Source organism: Homo sapiens, chromosome 12, assembly GCF_000001405.40.
Source record: "Homo sapiens chromosome 12, GRCh38.p14 Primary Assembly".
In the NCBI taxonomy this organism is placed as follows: domain Eukaryota; kingdom Metazoa; phylum Chordata; class Mammalia; order Primates; family Hominidae; genus Homo; species Homo sapiens.
The window spans coordinates 27,001,156-27,020,846 of NC_000012.12; the positions used below are offsets into that span (position 1 = coordinate 27,001,156).

Sequence of the window (19,691 nt, forward strand, 5' to 3'; positions counted from 1 at the left end):
AAGCACTTCTCTTTACACAGACCACTCACTTCCTGAGCCATGTGCAGTTCTGGCCATCATCTTCTAAGTAATATAACAGTGGGAACTAAAGGCAGTCCAAGAAATAAAATGATAATTAAGGACAACTAAGACCCTTTCTGCATAGAAATCAAGGCCCAAGATGCTGCCAGCTAGGTCTGTTTTATCACTGGTGATGCTGACATCTCTTTATCCAAGTTCTGCTTCCTCAGATGTAGAAATAGGCATCACTACTAATTTGTTGAGCTTTAATGAGAATTAACCATATGGAAACCAAACACAGGGGTTCCTAACTGGGGGCCTGAGAGTCTGAGTTTTTGAAGGGCCCCATGAAATTTTATATTTATATTTGAGTCCATAGACTTGAGCAGTCTATGGCTCCAGGAGCTTAAGAACCACTGGCCTAGGACATAGCAGGCGTTCAACAAATATAAACCCTTATTTCACCCATCCTCTCTCTTTTCCTTCAAATGTTGTCTTGCTGTAATGTCATTAGGAAGAAACACACTGTTTGTCAATTAAAAATTGTTTTAATAGATCTAGTTAAAAAAGAGAAGAAGAAAGAACTCATCTATGTGCCATTTTACTAAGTCTCCTATGTAAGAGTCTGAATAGGAAGCTGTCTTTTGAATTCAGTGCCATAAAAAACTTGGCCTCCCCTGAGGAACTGGCATGCTCCTTCCTTTCTAAGGAAGTTATGAAATTTAACATGCTTTACCTTCTGCTTTAGCTGCAAAGAACTTGGGCAAATTCGACGTATGTGTGACATCGGTATCTCTTGTAATTAATACTATTTATTCCTTTCCTTTTTTCCTAAGCTGAATTCTTCCATTTCTAGTCTATTAACTACCCCCCTACACACATACCCCACAACACACACGCACACACGTGCACAACCACATGCACACAATTTCCAAACCTCTATGGTAGGGGAAAGAAGGCAGGAATAAAAATACACAAAATAGTAAGAAAGATAGTGTGACCAATGCCTCTAATATTATATATGGGCTGGGGCGCAGTGGCTCATGCCTGCAATCCCAGCACTTTGGGATGCCCAGACAGGCGGATCACTTGAGGCCAGGAGTTCAAGACCAGCCTGGGCAACAGAGCAAAACCCCATCTCTACAAAAAAAAAATGTTAAAAATTAGCCAAGTGTGGTGACATGTGCCTGTAGTTCCAGGATCACTTAAGACCAGGAATTTGAGCCATGATCACACGACCACATTCCGGCGTGGGTGATGGAGTGAGATCTTATCTCTAAAAAAAAAAATAAAAATTTTAAAAATTTACATATGAATTAGATTAAGACAGAATTGTTTACCAAATTCCAGAATATTATAATATAGGCTTAGGACAAATAAAAAGAAGTATAACTTCATACAAGGTGAAATGCATGTATTGGTCTAGGGCATCATAGAGACTAAATGCAGATAGATTGTAAAAGATTATATAAATGGCAGACTCTTCATAGCTTAAACTAACCCAGAGAATTTTAAAAACTTTCTAAGGCTGAGGTTGAGGTTAAGGGGTTTAGTGATGACATCTATAATAGAGTCCTTAATACTGCTGGAGGCATAGCACAGGGCTGGATGAACTGAGCACTATAATTTTTTTGTTGTTTGCGTGACAGAGTCCAAAGAATAAAGTTGATATTATAGGGTTCTTGGTAAAGTTCAATACTATAGCTAAACAACAATGAAAACCCATTAAACATATATTCTCAGGTAAAAGTTATTAAGGCCCCACTAAAGTAAGAAAATGAAAAGGTGGGAATTCACGAAGAAAACTTGCCTGCATAGTGGTGACATTTGTCACAGGGTGCCCTTCTCCCCAGCTCAGCTCTCCATTACCCCTTTTTAGGTCAGAGACTGCCACACTCAAGAAAGGCCTGAGATACTCTCAGTCACTAACTTGAAAACATCCTATCTTGATTTTTTAAAATTTAAGACATAAGATCATAAACATAAAAGAGATAGAGATATCAAATTCTAATGCTCATACTAAATACCAGACCCCCAAAATATAGAAATGATTTTTACTAAAATAATTCTTTGCACTTACCGGAGAAAAGGAAACAGTTGTATTCTGATACTGTGAGTGTATTTGGAAAATAAGAAAAGTCACATTGCTTGAAATATCATGCAAAATAGCTTCCTCTGGAAAGGGCCTATTGAGCTCGAAGTATCTAAATTTCCCCACAGAAAATTCAATAAGACCTACAACGAGATAAACTTTTCATTACAACACTTGTACTCTCATATCAATTTGCAGAAATCATATTCATAAATGAATGTGGAATTTAATCCTCAGAAAAACTCCTTGAGGTAAATATGGTTATTGCTCCTATTTCACTGCTAAAGACAATGTGGCTTAAAAAGTGATGCAGCCCATCCAGGGTCATCCAGCCAGTGAATGGTAGAGCTCAGAACTAAAATGCAAGAGGTATTTCAAAAGGTATGCTGAAGACAGGCTCCTGGAACCCAGAGAAACTTCCCCTCTGGTAGCAGCAATAACAATGATCTCTGGAACAGAGTCCCTGAATTTAAAGATGACAATCCTGTGGGGCTACTAACAATCATGAATGTGCTGGTGTTAAAGAACCATAACCGTCTAGTGAATTCTGAAGTCAGCGTAGCCCGAAGAGACACAGGTGGCTGCAATTTAATACCGGTGTTTACCAGCTGTGTGATTTTAGGCACGTTCCTTAAATCCCCTTAAGCCTCAATTTCCTCATCTGTCTAATGGAGACTGCAAAGGAAGGTGAAATCAATACTGACAAAAATGTCCAATGAGCACCCACACCAGGCACTGCACATAAAATTGTGAACCACAGGCATTCTGGAAAAGAGAGCTTTTGTTTGCTTAAGGATCAAACTGAGTCCATAAAAAAGATAGGTTATAACAAGAACAGTTTTTCAACACCTCCTCCAGGCCTGTCCCATCTGTCTACTTGCCTCCATGGTCTGCATCTCACTGACTCTGTCCCCACTTCTCTGTGATGTGTTTCTGCCAGCTGCACACCAGCTCATCTTTTTTCAATCTAACTCTCAAATAATCCTTTAATTAGGTTGCTTTTACTCCTGTGCGGTCCTGGATTCCTACCCCACCCCCCATCCTACAGTCAGTATCTGTCTGCATGAACAGCAGAAAAGATCCCAAGTTTCACATAAGCAGTCTTGGGGGTTCAATTCTAAACAAACAGACAAAAGATTTAGATTAAATATAGATGAAAAGGAATTGATGAAAAAAGATTATAATTCACCCGAGTCCCATAGTGGAACTGTCATGTTTTATTTTAGAAGGTAATTAGAGTCAGTGGGCGGTAAAACATTTCAGATACTAAATAACTTAATAACACATTCTTATATACCATGTCCCAAAAAGGTCAATTTTCAACACTTTTTTTTTTAATACGAAAGCTCCACTGGATGATTTAAAACCAAACAGAACCAAAAAAATCAAGAATGAGTAGCCTGTGGAAGAACAGCCAAAAAAAAGACACAAATAGTGTTAAGACTAGAATAATCTTAACCTCTATATATTTTCCCTAAGCTCTGTGATGCTACATTACATTCATAACTTAATGTTTTTTTAAAAAAATGATAGAATAAAACGTTACAATTTCATTTCTAAAACTCTAGAGAAAATTGTAATAGTTTTAACAATGACAAATGAAGATAGCATATTTCCTATTTATGGTACCAGAAAGACATTTTACATTTTAAATGGACCAAACTCCAGCTGGAACAGAGGTTAAAATATTAAGGAATGGCCAATAGAATCTGGGTAGGGAAGTCTGGAAAAAGTTTGTGTGCACGTGTTTTTTCTTTTTAAAAAGAAACAAGAAAAACATGTTTATATTTTCCAGGCCTTCCCATTATCATGATTATTTTATTAGAAAAGCAAATTATACATAAAACTATATGGATTTCAGTAAATTACACTAAAAATGTTTCATTTATTGCCCTTCAAGTTTGGTCCCATCCATCATGCATCCTCCAAGTCTTAAAAATTCCCACCCGTATTGGCAGTATCAGTCTGCTTTCCTAGAAATTAATCAGATTTCTATCCTTTCACTGTTCACAGCATTCAACTCACTTACTATCCTGCCTTTTCTAGTCTACATCTTCAGTTTTTCCTTTTTGTTCTCATTTTCCCTATTTGGCAATATTTATAAGGTACTCATGGACTAGGCACTCTAGTTGTTGGGCACCATGATCAAAACTGACACAAACAAATTCATAAAGGTTATCCAAGGCTTCTGTAATTATCACTTAAATTTGCCCTTTGATATTATTTTAGAAAATGTTCTAATAATCCTCATGTCTATCTCCCATGACATGAGCCTTCCATCAGAACAGTATACAGAACCTTTAAAAGCCCTGGAAGAGACTGAAGCCATCAACTAGAGAAGCCTTCATGGTAAACTTTTCTTAACCTTCCCTTAACCTATCACCCAGGATGAGGATGAATCACAACTCAAAAATACTTGGAGAAACAAAACTTTGGAAAGACAGTACGGAAACACAGAACCATGGAAACTAAAATACATTGTTAAACAACTGATGACTTGACAAAATAAGTAGGGGGGTATTAAAAGCAGGTATCTCTTGGAGTATATTTTAACTGATTTTTTTTTTTTTTTGAGATGGAGTCTCACTCTGACACCTAGGTGGAGTGCAGTGGCGCAATCTTAGCTCACTGAAATTTCCACCTCCAGGTTCAAGCAATTCTCCTGCCTCAACCTCCTGAGTACCTGGGATTACAGGCATGTGCCACCACGCCTGGCTAATTTTTGTATTTTTAGTAGAGACGGGGTTTCACTATGTTGGCCAGGCTAGTCTCGAACTCCTGACCTCAAGCGATCCGCCCATCTCAGCCTCCCAAAGTGCTGGGATTACAAGCATGAGCTACCCTGCCCGGCTGATTTTTCTTTTTTTTACACTTGTCCTTCTTTTTCTTTTTCTTTTTTTTTTTTTTTTTGAGACAGAGTCTTGCTCTGTCGCCAGGCTGGAGTGCAGTGGCGCAATCTTAGCTCACTGAAATCTCCACCTCCAGGTTCAAGCAATTCTCCTGCCTCAACCTCCTGAGTACCTGGGATTACAGGCATGTGCCACCACGCTCGGCTAATTTTTTGTATTTTTAGTAGGGACTGGGTTTCACTATGTTGGCCAGGCTGGTCTCAATCTCTTGACCTCGTGATCCGCCCACCTGGGCCTCCCAAAGTGTTGGGATTACAAGCATGAGCCACCACGCCAGGCCAACTCTACATTTTAAATGTTTATAAAATAGGAACACACACTAGAAAAAAAAAGGGACAAAATGGGACATTCTCTCAACATTCTGTCACTGTTTTGCTTTCCCTTAAAATGGTAATATTTTTCTAGAAAATATATAATCCTTATAAAAGGTGCTAAATAAACAGAAAGTCAACTCCTCCAGCAAGTACAATGTACAGAAATCACCACTGCTAACAGTTGGGATATATCTTTTAGGGCTTAGGCAGATATAAGCATGCATATTTCCGCATAGATGGAAAAAGATATAAATATGTTTGATATTGCCCATTTAACAGGTCTTATATATCTTTCCATAGCAACACAGATAATGCTAGCTTTACCATTTTAAAAGCTACAGAGTATTCCATTCTGGGTATGTACCATAATTATTCACCCAATCTCCTATTAATGAACATCTAGGCTGTTACCATTATAGCATGAATAATAAATTAATAAGAAATAAAATAGTTCTGATTTTGTGGAAGACTATTCCAGAAAGCGTATGTGTCAGGCAATAAATCTATTTGAGAGAGTTTTTGCTGTGACAGTGTAACAGATGACCTTTGACCTTAAATGGTTAAACTGTACCTAAAAAGTCTTGTTCTAGTCTAAGATATCCAGAAATAAAAACAAATAGACCATGTGAGAATACACAATGATTAGGACCAAAAATTAATCTGCAGTCTTTGCTTCTGAATTCTTCTTCAAGAAATATACCTGAATTTCAGGAATAATTACAACTTTCATCTGTTATTTCCTGGATTTCCCAAAAGCTACAGGAAAATGATGCCTCATCATCTTCCTTTCCTCAAATGCCTACAGTGCGAACCAGGCAGAAGCCAGGAAATAAAAGGGAGGGACACTGTATACATTATGTAAAACCTGGTCACTTGACAAAATAGGTAGGGGTATTAAGAGGAAGTATCTCTGGGGGTGTATTTTAAGTGATTTTTTTTCTTTTCATTACACATTTCTTTATTTCTTAAATTTCTATAGTGACCATAAGGTGTCCTTTTCATAAGAAATTATAATACAGTGATTATACACCCTGGCTATCCATTACAATCATCTGGAGGGGATTAAAAAAAAAACAGAACACTGCTGCCTGGGACCCTCTCCAGATGAGTTAAATCAAAATCCCTGGGGCTAAGGTCCAGGTATCAATTAAAAAACAAATATCCATTAAATACTATGCAGAGAAATACAGAAAGTTTACACACCCATGAATTAACCAGCACCTAAACAGCATTCTAGCATCTTAGTGGTCCCCCTGTGGCCCCTCCCAATCACATCTTCTTTCCTCCCCAGAGGGAAATAGGGTCCTAAGTTCAAACACTAGGAATTTATTTGGACGAATTCAATTGAATAGAATTTACAGCACAATTTTTGTGTGTTTGGCTTCTTTAAAATCAGCATTATGTTTGTGCAATTCATTCCAGCTGCTATAGGTAGCTATAACTCATTACCATAATTGTATACTTCATGAAATAACATGCCACAATTATCTGTTCTACTGTTAATAAACATCTGTATTTCTGGTTTAGAGTTATAAATAACTCTAAACATTTTCTGTGCATGTCTTTTGGTACACGCATATACACATTTTTGTTGGGTGGAACCTGTGAGTAGAATTATCAGGTAATAGGGTATTCTCATCTTCAGTAGATACTGCCAGTCTTCCAACAATGTTTTGCCAATGTATACCGCATCAACTTACTGTAGGAAAGTGTTCCAATTGCCCAGAAGTCTCACCAACACCTGGTATCATTCATTTATCTGCTGAGTATATAGTGGTATCTCATTGTGATTTTAATTCGCACTTCCCTAATTACTCATGGGTGTTAAGAAACCTTTGCTTTGCTTATTTGCTATTTGGATATCCTCTTTGTGAAACAGTCTGTTCGAGTCTTTTACACATATTAAAAATGGAACTGTCCTTCTTCAATTTTAGGAGTTTTTAATACATCATAGATATGAGTATTCTGACAGATACGTTGCGAATATATTCTCCCACTCTTGTTGCTTGTCTTTTCACTCTGTTACCTTTAGATTAACAGTTTTCATTTTAGCAGTCAATTTCAGGTTTTTCCTTTATGATTAGTCCCTTTTGTGTCATTTTAAAGAAATCTTTGTCAACATATACCAAGATCATGAAGATACATTCCCATGTTAACTTCCAGAAGTTTGTTTTATCTTTCACATTTAGAGCTAAAAATCAAGCTGATGCTGATTTTTACACATGGTGTAAGATAGAGGTCACAGTTCATTGTTTCATATGTTCATCTACTTGACAGCAACCTTCACTAAAAATACCACCCTGTAGTACCCCATGTTCTCTCACTTATAAATGGGAGCTATGTAATGTGTACACATGGGCCTACACTGTGGACTGATAGACATTGAAGACTGAGGAAGGTGGGAGGGGGCCTGAAGATGAGAAATTACTTAATGAGTACAATGTACATAATTCCAGTGATGGATACACTAAAAGCCCTGACTTCACTGCACAATATATCCTGTACCTACACTTGTGCTCCATAAGTTTATACAAATAAAATAATTTAAAAATACCACCATCTCCCCACCCTACTGCTTTGCAGTTCCACCTTTCACATAAGTCAAGTGAACATATGTGTTTGCTTCTAGAGTCTCAATTGCATTCTACTGGCTTATTTGTCTAGCTATAGACACCAATCCTAACACAAATATTACAACTCTCTTAACTCCTGCTCCAAATTTGTTCTTCCTCCTCAAATTTATCTTGACTATTTCTGATCCTTTACATTTCCATATAAGTTTTAGAAATCAGCCTGTCAATATCCACACACACACAAAAAAACCTGCTGGGATTTTGATTGGGATGGCCCTGAATATATACATTAATTTAGGAAGAAATGATACCTTTAAAATATCTTTATCTTTAGAATTTTGTAATCTATGAATTTCCGATATTCCTCTATTTCTTTAGTTTCTCAATTTATCTAAAGAATGTTGAGATGTATTATGTTATTTTCTCTGTAGAGGTCTTTACATATCCCATGATTATCATCCCAGAATACGTAATGTTTCTTGAGGCTATTTTAAATGTACTTTTTCTTTTCTTTAATTTTATTTCTTAACGTTTTGTAGAGATGAGGTCTTGCTATATTGATCAGACTGGTCTTGAACTCTTGGCCCCAAGAGATCCTCCCCCACTCAGTCTTCCAAAGTGCTGGGATTACAGACGGAACCACAGCACCCGACCCTGCTTTTTCTTTTAAATGTCTATTTCTAGCTGTCTCTTCACCAATATATCTTTTATAAAAAGTTCTCCATGTAATTCTAATGTTTAGCTGGGTTTGAGAACTCCTAACATAGTGTTTGATAAACAAGCAAAGGATAAATATGTATTTTTTTCCCAGTCTTAGTTATCTCTAACCTAACATCTGTGTGAAAATACTTTGGCAGTGTAACCCTGGCAATCTAACATCCATTGTACAATTTTTTTCAGAAGATTGCTTTAACCAAACCAGTTGTGGTTTGATTCCTGGCTGTGCAGGATTTTGTCATTTTTGATGTTCCAACGTCTAACACAGTATAGTCACCTAACTGGCATACAGTAAATGTTTGTTAAATGATGCCTGAACTATGTGACCTCAGGCAAGTAATGTACTTCCTCTGGGCTTCAGTTCCCTCAAAGTAAAATTGAGGTAACTGTGCTGCCATCAGTTGGCTGCTGAAAGTATCAAACAAATGGGAAACAACTTTTAAACTGCCCAAGGCTACACAATAAAGCATCATTTATTAATTTCCATTAGCTTTCCTGTGCTTCACACATTCATCTCCTTATTGAAAGAAAAGAAAGAAAGAAAGACAATCAGGCACTCAGAGCAGCCCTACGAAAAAATTAGTGGGAAGAAAGGAACTAACATGTACAGGGCATTCACAGAAATTCCAGGCACATCATAAGCATTACGTTGAGAAAGAGACTTCCGAAGAGTGACAACAAAAGATACTGAAAGTCAAGACAACTTAAACAGCTCAGTCTGGTAGAAACTCATTTAATTTCTGCTCATAAAAACAGATTTAGCAAAAGAAGACACATACTCAAAAAATATCCTGAAGAAGCTAACAGGAATTTAACTTCACCTCTAAGGCATATGGAAAAGGATTTATTAGAAGCATTTTATGAGGCATAATTATATCTTATGACTTGCAGAGTAGGAGGAAAAAAGACAGCACATCAAAAGATATTACAAAGCAAATGGCTAACATCAAGTTGGGGCACTTACATTAGCTTTCCTCTAAAAAGAAATGGCTTTTTTTGCCATCTGACCTATAGTAGGGACTTGAAACAATTTTTCACACCCATCTTCCATTCTTACCCAGAATCACTTTTTCTTTCCAATAATTCCACTTTAAAAAGAGCTGCCCAATCCTAATACTTTCCTTTTTCTTTCCGAATCAGATCCTAATCTGGCAACCATAAAAATTTCCAACTCTTCCTTTTTACTATTTTACTAAAATTTACTTCTACTGTTTGTGTTTCAACACAACAACCAAATTCTAAGAGAAATCCATCATAGCCTAGTCTTCATAATTCTCTTCACATTAAAAACAAAAATGGTTCAGCTACTTGAGTTGGTCAGCAGTCAACCGCCCCTCCCAATTTCTCATTGTTATCTTCTTACAAATGTTCAATAGCCCTAAAGGTTGAAAGGGAACACAAAAATGAACATATTAGCTTCACACACTTTTTAGAGAAAGACAGCACTTGCAACTAACCATGAACAGCCTGCTACCTTGGTAAAGCATCATCAATAGCAAGAAGACTGAAAGGCCCAAATGATGCTGTGCTCAAGTCCAATTACTATGAAATTCCACGGGAGTTACTGGATATGAATCTAAACAAATGAAAGATGTTAAAGGCAGCAGTGAACTGGGACTCCAAGAGAAGGGAAAACTGCTTAAAAGTATGATCCATCTCATGTGCCTACTGGTCACAGAAAGCACCCTCCTCAGACATTCTAGGAACTCCATCTGCCACGTTCCAAGATTTATTTAGCATTCAGGCCACTACAGAAGTCATGCAAGTTAGCTCATCCTGCCAAAGATGGGTAAATCCTCCTAAATTACAGCAGATGCTCAATTTCTTCAGTTTGTATGGTTATCAGAATTATCATCATCAAACATCAATCCAGCCATTTTCTAGGAGGATTATGCAAGTCCTGAACTATGTCCTTCTACCTTTCTATACTGATTTTTAGCTGATAGATGTGGAGAATATCAGCTTTTATTATCACTCAGCAGTTAAGTCCCCACATTGTCCCTCTTCTGCACAGAATGACAATACCAATGCAAGGCAAAAAGAATAACATTGAGGAATATCAGTGCTATAATCATAGCAAAGAGGCAAAAAGCAGTGTCTGAAAAAAATTAATTTCTCAATTTATTCATATTTTTTAACTTTTGTATAAAAATTTCTAGGTATTAAATACTAACACCAAGTAGAAAGAAAAAGTTCTGGACGCCTGCTCTCCTGACTCAGGGGCTGGCCTCGATCAACTAAAAACTCTAATATCTCAAATTCTTCACCTGTTAAAATAGAGATAGCATCTCTTCTACCTCCATCATAAGGCTATTTTGAAGAATGAGGATTCACAGAAGGATTAAGTACAAAGCACCATGCCATGTAAGATATTCTTATTGGAAGACAGCTTTACGGAAGTGGAAGGACTATGAAATTTGCAGGGAGACTCACCTGGGTTCAAGTCCTATCTGTAACCCTAGCAGCTGTTCATTTGTTCCTCTGACAAGGGAGGAAGATCATTACATTGTAGGGTGGTGGGGATTAAATAACACTGCACGTGGAAAGCACCTGGCACACACTATACAGAGTGAATGTTAGTGCCCTATTATAAGCAAGGTTTTTCTGCAAAAAAAAAAGTTGCCCTTTTCAGCTTTGGCCTCAGTCCTATATACAAAGATCCTAGAATTCAGTTTGCACAAGGGCTTTTCAAAGATAAGTGCATAGCAACACAATCACATTATTCAGAAAATATTATGTTTCAGAACTGCAACTAGTCTATTAACCTCAAAACAAAACAGAATGTGCTTAGTTTCATGGAAAAGCACATGATGATCTGCCTGGCACAACTAGTGCCTTTTACATTTTATATTAACAAACCATGAGCTGTTGCCCAAACCCATTCACCAAGCACAAGACTTACAATCTAACATCCCATTCTGAGTTCTCACTGAGATGAACAAGAATTACCTGAAATCGGCCGGGCGCGGTGGCTCATGCCTGTAATCCCAGCACTCTGGGAGGCCAAGGCGGGCAGATCACGAGGTCAGGAGTTCGAGACCAGCCTGAACAACATGGTGAAACCCCGCCTGTACTAAAAATACAAAAACTAGCTGGGTGTGGTGGCGGGCGCCTGTAATCCCAGCTACTCTGGAGGCTGAGGCAGGAGAATTGCTTGAACCCGGGTGTCGGAGGTTGCAGTCAGCCAAGATCATGCCACTGCACTCCAGCCTAGGCGACAGAGCGAGACTCCGTCAAAAAAAAAAAAAAAAAAAGTCACCTGAAATCATCAAAAATGGTGTACTCATAGGGAGCCAAGCCCGGGCATGTTGCTTCTTGGCTCCCACAGGTGAATTTGAAGTGGCAATAGAACTTCGTTGATTCTTGTTTTTCTCATTTTAGTTTTACTCTCTATTAAATTGTTATTTTTTACAGTTCATTTATGGATGACAAGTTATTTCCTGTTGGTAGCTGCAATGATTGGGAATTTTGTGATCTCTGTAAACGAATTAATATCTCATAGAGATCTATTTCCTGTTGGATATGAGACAACAGAGAACACAGTTTTTGTCCATTTGTCTTTTTTAAGGTCAAATCGATTAGAAATTTCTTGCCCTCAAGTAAGGAGAACAACTCTGATACCTGGACTGGCAAGCTTTTGTGTTTCTGTGTTTATTTTTCATTTGTGGCTGAACTTGTAGAATTGAGGGTATACACATTCTATCTGTATGTCTATGTATCTGTAATTCAGAAAGTCCTTTATTTCTCATTGTGAGTATGGAATGTTTTCCTGTCTCCAGATGGTATTAATAAATTAGATGGTAAAGGCTCTTTAAAAATAAAGCCTCATTATGGGTTCATTTTCCCTCTCAAACTCTGTAGAACATAACCAGTTTGAAAAGCCTCTAGATTTGGGGGTGTAAAAATTCCATGCAGCTTGAGAGCCATCAGTCATTAAGCCGCTAGTTCCACCCCAAGTCTTGCTGTCCAGAAGCTCAGACAGTCCACTGGGCAGCAAAGAGGCGCTTTAGTAAGTTGAATTAAAGCCACAAACATGGCTGCTCCCTAAGGGAGATAATACTGTGTTAAAAAAAGAGAATTATTTATCTCTTCCCATTTCCTCCGCTAAATGAGGAGGTTAATAGTAAGACCTCCTTAGCCATGAGTGTTTCCGCTGCAGGAAACACCATTCGTGCCGGTTCTGGACTCACCACCCAGCGTGTACCAACGCCCCCAGCACCATCTCCCTGCTAGGCTGACAGACCCCTGGCGGATTTTGACCTCGCAAGAAATGCAAAAGCAACTTTGGGTTGCAGAAGCCAGGCGCCCCGACCTTACCCTCGCTGGAATTCCCGAAGACCTCGGCTGCACCAGCCACCCGGTGTTCGGATGCCAGCACCGCTACGACCAGCAGCTGCAGGAACCCCATTGCTGCCTGGGCCGGGCTGGGCCCACGCCAGGGCTGGGGAGAGGTGCGGGCGTGCGCGCCGGGGCCCCGCAGCCTCGCCCACGCTATCCCGGGGCGCCCGCATCGGGCGCCATCGCCCGCCAGGTGCAGACGCTTCGCACCTGCCAGCTCCGCAGCCGCCGGCGCGCGCCCCGCCGAACTCCTAGCCCCAGCGAGAGGTTTCCTCTTCCGGCACCTGACCCCCAACGCGCGTTCCCGCGCCTCCTCCCGGGCTCTCGCTGCGTCACAGCGGCGGGTCTCTGGGCGCGGGCGGCGCTGGGGCGTTTCCAGGCAGCGCGCGCCTCCTGCCGGCGCGCGGGGAACGCGCAGCCTGCGGTGCTCCCGGGAGCCCCCAGGAAGTCCTGGCTTGAGGCCCGGTCTTGCCCCACTTTTATCTCACCAAGTAGGCAAACCCACTGTGAAAGTACAAAATAACTTTCTGTTGCGGACTAACGTCGCCAGGCTCCTGTTTCCGTGTTTAACGGCCCTTTACAACAGCAAAAAAGAGGAATCAGTTGCTAAAAACACAATTGAAGGTTATTTCCCCCGGTAGCAATTGTCTTCGCTGCTGAGGCTTATGTTAGCATAAAAATGCCAGGAGAATGCTGTTTGTGTAGTGGTTACCGCACTAGTCATAAGCACTACATTTAAAAGTAGTTTCGTTTTCTCTAAGCGAAATATCCTCGAAGACACGGCCTTGGTCTGAACTTCGTCTCAAGTCTCATACCTGAGTGCTGTTTGAGGGACAGTAGTCCATGTGACAGATGGCTCATCGATGATGTGGAATTAGACGCATAGACTTAACGTTATTTGGGGAGGATTGTCTTGCTTTCCTTCCCTGGTTTTAATTTTTTTCACTTATATATTTTGATGAGCAACTTATAGCTTGGAAATTACATGTTCAGTTAGTCCACTACTAAGCTAACAATATATAGCTGTGACCATAATGTGAAGAAGTGTTAAAGACAAAATTATTCAATGATACTTGTTAAAGCACCGAACGAAGACTATTGAGGACTGTCTCAATTGGCATAGGGACCACTGCAACTGGGTCTTGCAGTGGGGAAGAGGGACTGGGCTCAACTCCGAATACAGCGTGGGCAAGAGGGAATTTATAGCCAACCAGCAGTATGGAGTTCAGTGGATGGAAAATTACTAAGAGGAAGCATCAGAGGTAAGGGGCATTTGGTGAAACTGACCTAACAGGACTTCTGAAGACATAACATCACCTGGGGGATGGTGCAGGGTGAGAAAACTGATTAGATATGGAGGAAAGGGGGTTCTTTGCTAAAACTGGATTTTTACAAAGAAGTGCACAGATGGACCTAGCAGAAGATTCAGAAGCCGTACTAGAGTTTGGCCAAGCAAATAATCTTTGTCATAGGCACAATTCTTTCTCTGCTTTCCCACTGCCTGGTCCAAATTTTCACACCTTTGGTAGCACTATCTATTTCTGTAGTGCTTATTCACTCTCCCACATGCCCCTATTCCTATAACCCTCAGTAGATGAAATCCAAGGAAGATGAAAGGGACAATTATGATAAGGGTAGCATCTGAATCAGTGGATGGATTATTCAATAAATTGTGTTCTTAACTGATTAGCTGCACTATGGGCAGAGAGAAGCAGAACTCTATCTCACACTAATTGTGAAAACAAAATCCCAAAGTAATAAAACCATAAAAGAGCTAGCAGAAGAGGGCGCTCTTTTTTTTTTTTAATAAATTGATCTCAAAATGGGAGGAGCTTTCTAAGAAGCAAAACAGCAAAGGAAACAACCATAAAGGAAAAGATTGGTAGACTTGGCTACGTAAATGCTTTTTACATAAATATTTAAATTTTATTAAAGTAAACACACAAACAATATGAAAAGGCAAGTTGACCAAAAAAAAAAAATTAGCAAAGGACATGAATGGGGAATTTCACCCCAAAAAAGAAATACAAATTACCAGTAAATACATGAAAAAAGTTCAATCTCACTAGTAAACAAATAAAAAAATCAAATTAACAAACTAAGATGTAAACATTTTAAAAGTATAAAACATCCAGTGTGGATAAAAGAGCTAAGAAGGAGGCATTCTTAGGTAGGGATACTGGGAATATACACTTTAATAAAGTAATCGGCATCAAAAATGTTTAAAAATCTTATTTTTGTAGATTTGGTATAATCCACTTTTAGATTTAAGTACATAATTAAATACACATATAAAAATTAGTATAAGCTGGGGGAAGTGGTATGCGCCTGTAGTCCCAGATACTCAGGGGGCTGAGGCAGGAGGATTACTTGAGCCCAGGAGTTCAAGAGGGCAGTGCTGTATGATTGCACCTGTGAATAGCCACTGCCCTCCAGCCTGGGCAACATAGTGAGACCCCATCTCTTAAAAAAAAATAGTGTACAGAACTATTCATAGAGTATTATTTAGAGTAGCAGAAACATCTAAAACAACCTAAATGCCCAACAATTAGGAGTTAAATAACCTATGATAGAGCTTTATAAGAGGATCCTGTGCAGCCCTTCATTTATATTCTGATTGAAGTCTTTATGAAAAGGCAAGTTATGATGCAATAAGTATATATAGTACGTGGCTTTTTTTTTTTTTTAACATACATCTTTTATTGACTCAGAGGAATGGATACTTTTGTTGTTTGTTTGTTTTTTTAAATGGAGTCTTGTTCTGTCCCCCAGGCTAGAGTGCAGTGGTGCAATCTTGGCTCACTGCAACCTCTGCCTCCCGGGTTCAAGCAATTCTCCTGCCTCCGCCTCCCAAGTAGCTGGGATTACAGGCACACACCACCATGCCCGGCTAATTTTTGTATTTTTTTTTAGTAGAGATGGGGTTTCACCACGTTGGCCAGGCTGGTTTGGAAATCCTGACCTTGTGATCTGCCCACCTCGGCCTCCTGAAGTGCTGGGATTACAGGCGTGAGCCACCACACCCGGCCTGTAATTTTTTTTTAAGAGACAAGATCTCACTATGTTACCCAGGCTGGCCTTAAACTCCCAGATGTAAGAATTAAAGAAGAAAGAAACAGGAAAGGTGGCTTAGAAGTCAAGGACAAGTTTATTTTAGAGAAAACAAACCTGAAAGGGGCTTCTGGCCAGTTAGGTTAGAGGCACACTCTCTTACGGACTAATAAGAGTTTTTAAGGATTTAGGGTGGGAGAGTTTATCAGAGGCTTGGACTGCTTCTGTGTCTGTTGTGCTTATCTGGGAGGGAGAGTTGTGTGTCTGTTCCCATACATCTTTTTGCAGCTGCAGGCATACCCCCGAGTCTGCTTTTAGCTTCCCTATCTTAGTGCACCTGAAGGGAAAGGAATGTACTTACTAAGGCCCACTGTTTTACTGGGGCCCATTGTATGAGGGTGAAGTTTGGCAGTTACCCAAGAGAATTTCCCCCCACCTCCCTTTGTGCCTGAGCTGTCTTATCTGTGTTTTACTGTCTGCTCTTTCTGGCTGCTTATAGTTAGAAGAGAAGTGATTTCCTTGAAATGCATGAGGCTAGAAAGGGAGCTGGAACTTAAAGTGGCGGTGTTTGTCCGAGATGACGGTGCTCCTGGTCTGTCACCAGACTCAAGCAATCCTGCCACCTCAGCCTCCAGACTAACTGGGACTACTACAGGCTCACACCACTGTGCCTGCCTTGTTTTCTTTGTAGTATGCATTCCTGGTTATGTACATAGAAAAAAAGGTTGAAAAATATATGCCAAAATGTTTAAAATAGTTATCTTTAGGTGGTTAAATTAAGAATGATTTCCTTTGCACATTTCTGTGTAAAAGTTCTACATTGAAGTGTATCATTTTTAAATAAGAAATTATGATTTTGTAAAAGATACATATAATTTTAAAGGTTTTCTTATAAAAGCATTCAAGATATAAGTCCACCTTCCTGAGTATGACACATAAATGCTTTTTGTGATGCAACTCCTGCTCACCTCCCTAGGTTCTTGCTGCAACTAAAATCAGACCTCTACATGCTGGCCACATTGAATTAATTTCAATTTCCTGAACTGAGCCTATTCTCTCTCCTCCATACCTTTGCATCGCAGTTCCCCAGGCCTGCAGTTGCCTGTGCATGCATGACAGTTGATGACAAATGTGTCAGCAATCAGAACAGGGCCTCATTACCTTGGCTTCTAAGTACAGTATTGTGACAGCTTGGGAGGATGATTGGCTGGGGTTCCATGCTCATGTCAGAGTTCCATTGGAGAGCTGAGAAGCAAACAAGCTTAGCAGCTTTGCAGATTAGTTCATTTTTCCTATGTATTGAAAGGAAATGCAGAAACTGAAAGATTCCCAAATCCAAGATATGCATCATTAGAGGCTTAAAGTCTGTTTAGGCCAGGCGCAGTGGCTCATACCTGTAATCCCAGTACTTTAGCAGACCAAGGCAGGAGGATCTCTGGAGACCAGGAGTTCAAGATCAGCCCAGGCAACATAGTGAGATCCCCATTCTTACACACACACATACACACACACACACACACAACCAGAAAAAAAAATTAGCTGGGCATGGTGGGGCACATCTGTAGTCCTAGATACACAGGTGGCTGAGGCTGGAGAATTGTTCGAGCCTAGGAGTTTGAGTTTGCAGCGAGCCATGATTATGCCACTGTACTCCAGCCTGGGTGACAGAGCAAGACCCTGTATCTAATAAAACAAAAGTCTGTTAAAATTTAGAAGAGGAAGGAAGGGCAGGAGGGAGAGAAGGAGGAAGGGAAAAAACTTACCCTAGCTTTTTAAATAAAACCTAAAATACCTTAAATGGAGCTGGGAGTGGGGATCCAGGGAAAAGGCAGGATTGAACCTCTGTGAAATTTGCCCATTCATTCTTTCCCACTCTAATCTCACCTTCATCCTGTATTTTTTAATTCTTATGCTCTTTTGTGGGTAGTAATTTACATTCTTTGTTCATTAAGTTAAATTCAGTAAATGCTTGTTTAGTAGCTATTATATGGAAATTATTATGCTAGGAAACTCATTCATTTGGTTGATAAATATGTGCCAGGCTAAAAGTTAGGTGCTAGGTACTGGAAATATGGAAACAGAATATGTTTTCTGCCTGCAAGTAGCCCATGGACTGGTGGGTGAATTAGCGTGATGTACAAATAATTACAGCACAGTATGCTAAGTGCAATAACAGAAGTGTAAGGAACAATTGTGTTAAAGATTGGGAGCATTTAACTTTCAGAATTCAGGAAAGGCTTTTATAAAGAGATGTTTAAAATAAGATTTTGTTCACTAGTATAGTGGCAAGTAAAAAAAATAATAATAGGCCGGGCACAGTGGCTGACGCCTGTAATTCTAGCACTTTGGGAGGCCAAGGCGGGTGGATCACCTGAGGTCAGGAGTTCAAGACCAGCCTGGCCAACATAGCAAAACCCCGTCTCTACACAAATACAAAAAACTTACCCAGGTGTGGTGGCGGGCACCTGTAATCCCAGCTACTCTGGAGGCTGAGGTAGGAGAATCACTAGAACCCTGGGGGCAGAGGTTGCAGTGAGCTGAGATCGTGCCACTGCATTCCAGCCTGGGTAACAGAGTGAGATTCTGTCTCAAATAAATAAATAAATAATAAAATAAGGTTTGAGTACTGTGTGGACAATCACCAAGGGAGCAAAGTGGAGATGTGGATGGAAGTGTAGGCATTTCATACAAGGAAGAAATAATTATAGGTGTTTTTATATGGTGTGCATTTTTGTAAAACAGCAGAACATGTTTAGGGAATTTCAAAGAGTGTGGTATAGAAAAATGCTTATTTATAGTTATTCATCCCGGCACTAAGAACAGTTTAGATATTTAATAAATTGCAACTGTGAGTATTAAAGTTATTTAAAAATTGCTAAAGGTGTTTTTCTTAAAAAATAGTTGCTACAGTCATAAAAACCAAAGCATTTACAAGATTGACTGAGTGGCTCACTGCTGAAGCTGTAAAGGGTATGCGAGGGTTCACTATACTGTCTACTTTTCTATATCTTTGAAACTTTTAATAATATAAAGTTTCAAAGAAAGTACTCACCAAAATTGTGTGTTTAAAATATGAGATCTGTAATACTGGGTTCCTGCTCCTAAAACCATATAATCCAGTTGGCGATGCAACAGAAGCAAATGGAAAAGCATATGAGAAAGTGTCCAAATCATGAAAGGAAGAAAGGAGAGGTCCCTATGGACTCTAGCAATTCATAAAATTTATATGAGAAGTGTACAGCTTAAAAAGGTAGGGTAAGGATTAAATAGCAGGAAAGAAATTGCTTTGGGAAAGGTAAAGAATGAGGAAAGAGCTAGACCAGTGGTTCTCAATTGGGGGCAATTTTGCCCCCCAGCAACATTTGGGACTATCTGGAGATACTTTATGTTGGCATAAATGGATTGGGGGGATGCTACCGGCATCTCAGGGGTAAGGGACAGGGATGCTCTAAACATCCTACAGTGCACAGGTCAGCATCCCACAGCAAAGAATAATCTAGCCTGAAAAGTCAAGAGTGCAGCCATTGAGAAATCCTGAGCTAGATGCACAGACTATATTTGGCAGGTGGGTTATTCTTGAAGTCTACAGCTTCAAGAGCTTCCTAAACCCCTTTTCAAATGTAGGCTAAGTTGAGAGTCTGGTCTGGGGAAAGGGTCCACAGCTTTTATCTGATTCTTAAAAAGATCCGTGGCCGAA

At 39.7% G+C, this 19,691-nt stretch overlaps 1 protein-coding gene across 12 annotated transcripts in view, besides 1 other annotated feature; it reads right to left on the reverse strand.

Annotated features, from left to right (window-relative positions):
* Positions 1–13,229, reverse strand: part of TM7SF3 (transmembrane 7 superfamily member 3) — a 42,806-nt gene extending 29,577 nt beyond the window's left edge. For all 12 annotated transcript variants that reach the window (XM_005253391.5, NM_016551.3, XM_047428990.1 and 9 more), the window contains exons 1-2: positions 12,923–13,229; positions 2,081–2,235 (exon numbers count right to left, since the gene is read on the reverse strand). In XM_005253391.5, coding sequence (XP_005253448.1) covers positions 2,081–2,235; positions 12,923–13,013 — 246 coding nt within the window. In that variant the 5' untranslated portion in view covers positions 13,014–13,229. The remainder of the gene's footprint in view (positions 1–2,080; positions 2,236–12,922) is intronic.
* Positions 12,922–13,421: a silencer, noted in NCBI's record as "silent region_4308". NCBI's record gives its function as "represses an Ori minimal core promoter by ATAC-STARR-seq in GM12878 lymphoblastoid cells {active_cell/tissue: GM12878}" and the evidence as "EXISTENCE:reporter gene assay evidence [ECO:0000049][PMID:35858748]".